The sequence below is a fragment of the Homo sapiens genome, chromosome 11, assembly GCF_000001405.40.
Source record: "Homo sapiens chromosome 11, GRCh38.p14 Primary Assembly".
In the NCBI taxonomy this organism is placed as follows: Eukaryota; Metazoa; Chordata; class Mammalia; order Primates; family Hominidae; genus Homo; species Homo sapiens.
In genome coordinates this window covers 116,130,650-116,133,648 of record NC_000011.10, presented here as the reverse complement: position 1 = coordinate 116,133,648, position 2,999 = coordinate 116,130,650, and the positions used below count along the sequence as shown (strand labels likewise).

Sequence of the window (2,999 nt, the reverse complement as noted above, 5' to 3'; positions counted from 1 at the left end):
AGGAGATGCGCATTAAATGACATTTCACTAATATTTAATATCACCATTACATGCAACCAAGGCTATCTTGGGAAAAGTGGAGTTGCTGTCATTGCTCTGGCTTCCTCCTTGTCCCTACCATGGCCCAGAGCTGCCTACAGGCAGCCAACTGGATGGCTCAATTCACTGTGATCCCTTCTTCTTTCTCCGTAGCACACAGCATGATGCTCTTTTCCACAAATAAGAAATGCGGGGCTGAGGATTCCTGAAAATCAGATAACTACCCACAAGATAAACCAAGCTGGTTGTCCTTTTACCTCTCTGTTTCTCTCCTCTGCTTGGTTCCCTCTCCCTTGGTTTGGACTGCGCCTGGCTCCCAGGGATCTGGTAAGGCATGAGGTCAGGGAAGTTGCTGGGCTTAGTTCTTCCCTTGCAAGATAATTCTTAAGGCCTACGAGGAATAAATTTCAGGCTTTTAAGCAACTTGGTCAATTAGGGGTTAAGCTCCCAAGGAAAAGGTTCCTGGAGGCCCTGGCTGGCCTGTCTCTTCACTTAACAATGGCAAAGCTTCTTCTCTGCAGTAACCTTTGCTCTAATTGCACACTCGCCATCATTCAACTGGACTCACAATTCTTTGCCGGGTAGGGAAATGACAAGAGACTGAAGGGCTGTGAAAGTTCAGCTCTTGCCTTCGTGGCTTTTTGCTGCAAATGCCACTCAGGCCCCTGCAGTAGCAACATGCCACCATGGCTCCAAAGTCTAAGTGCCCTGCTAGCAGGAGCGCTGGGGGGTCAGAGCTGTGGCAATGATGGGGAAGGGTGGAAGAGAGCGGCAGGGGGGACCCTCTGAGGTCGTGGTTCCAATGCTCAGCTGTCAGAGAGATGGCACTGAGAAGGGCATCAGAACCCAAACAGCACCCAGGCTGTTTCCAGATGCGGGGCTGCATTCACTCAAAGGTCTGACTGTGGGTAGGTCAGAGAGGGTGAAGGACCTGAAGCAGGTCCAGATAAGAGGAAGCAAAGTGAGGAGTGGATGGAAGGTGCCGGGCTGTCTCTTGAGTCTTAGGTGAAAATACCAAGGCTGGCAGATGGCAGCGTCTCCATTAGATCATCCTGGGGTACAGGCTGAGCTAGAAACATCACAGGGAGAATGGAACAGCCAGTCCCAACATCCACTGGAGCTCCAATATAGGGCCTGCTCCTGCCTTCGCTCAGGCCCTCAGGACCTCCCGCTGAGGTGACTGGGCCCGCGCACGGGCTTGCAGTCTGGACTCTCTGCTTCTGCCCTCACTGCTGTCGGGGTAAGCTTCAAAAAATACAAGCGGAGCCATTCACCTTCCCCTAAATCTTTCAACAACTCTCAAAGGCCTAAAGGATAAGTTTAAACTCTTTGGCATGGCCTTCTCTGGTCATCTCAGAATTGGCCTCAACCTACCTTTAAAGTCTCAGATTCTGTAACATCCCTCTGCATGCCTTGGGCTCTGCACAAGAGAAGATAATCAGATACAGACAAGGCCTTGCCAGCAAAGGACAGTGCCTGGCATGTTCAGGTAAGGGAGAATTCATTGCGATCCCTTCTTCTTTCTCCATAGCACACAGCATGGTGCTCTTTTCCACAAATAAGAATGCCTTATTGAATTCTCCCTTACTTGAGCATGCCAGGCACTGTCCTTTGCTGGCATGGCCTTGTCTGTATGTGATTATCTTCTCTTTTTTGCCCATGGGCATTTAACCTATGTTTCAAGTGCCTCTGAAAAGCCATCACTGATCTCAGGTGAGAATTTTTGGCTTCTTGCACCTCCTGATTTGACTCTAACTGGAGATAGGCCCACCTCTTTGAAGTTGTTGTAAGTGGATCGAGGTCAGTGACTGTGTAAAAATCATTTGGTGCTGTCTACTGTGCCCAGCTCAGTGCCAGGCTTATAGCGAGTGCCCTGTGGATGGTGAATAAATGAACCAGAAGCCCTTGCTTGAGGTGAGTGATAATGAACCACAGAGGTACTTCCAGGAAAGGCAAGGTAGTAAAGAAGCTGTGAAGAGTTGCGTGTCCCTTTTCTTTAGCTATCATTATTCATTTGCCAGGCTGAGCTCAGCAGCCCTGCCACAGATGGATATAGGCTTGGAGGCCTGGAGGCCTGTTCCAAATGGGCCCAGCTATTCTTGGGAGCTTTTTGTGTGATAAAGAGAGTCCCCCGACTGGCCCACTGACCTTTCCCCAGGCCTCCTGAAGGCTGAGTTATTGCCTTGTGGTGCATAGCAGAAGAGCCGCTTCCCTCCCCAGAGAAAGAAGTAAAAACATGCAGGAGGGAGGGTAATAATAGCTTCCACTTATGGAGCATTTACAATGTGCCAGGCAGTCTGGTAAGCATTTTTTGATATATTTTCCTGTTTCATTCTTAGGACGCCTTGGTGAGTTAGGAATGATAAGAATGTGAGGCTCAGAATGCTTAGGTCACTTGCCTAAGATCACACAGCGAGGAACTGGTGGAGCTGGGCTCTGGACCCAGGTCTTTCTGACTCCAGAAGTCCACATTCTTATCAACTGCATTTTACAGTCTCGGGTGCGACAGGGCATCTGCGGCTCCCCTGCTCTTTGGGAGGACCCCTGTCACCCAGAGGTTGGTTTCAGGGCTCTGGATGGGCAGTTGGTTTGTGAGGGCCACTCTCTTCCCTGGGGTATGAGAGAGAGAGAGAGAGAGAGAGAGAGAGAGAGAGAGAGAGAGAGAAGAGACAGAGAGAGAGAGACAGAGACAGAGAGAGAGAGACAGAGAGAGAGAGAGAGAGAGAGAGAGACAGAGAGAGAGAGAGAGAGAGAGGTGGAGGAGGGAGAGAGCCAGAGGGAGAGGAGAGAATTTATTCCGCTGATTATGCTGCTTATTCTGTTGGGGGCAGCCTGGGTGACAGAAACATAGCATGCCAATAAAGAGTGTCTTTATGGCCCCACCGACCACAAGGGCTAGAAAGTCTCTAGCTGGAGATAAAGTCAGGAGAGATGGATTAGACCCTGTCAGGATCTCGGGC

The 2,999-nt window shown here is 50.1% G+C and overlaps 1 annotated feature.

Annotated features, from left to right (window-relative positions):
• Positions 2,146-2,645: an enhancer, noted in NCBI's record as "H3K4me1 hESC enhancer chr11:116001721-116002220 (GRCh37/hg19 assembly coordinates)". NCBI's record gives its function as "activates a minimal SCP1, AML or CMV promoter by ChIP-STARR-seq in naive and primed H9 embryonic stem cells {active_cell/tissue: H9 hESC(naive and primed)}" and the evidence as "EXISTENCE:reporter gene assay evidence [ECO:0000049][PMID:30033119]".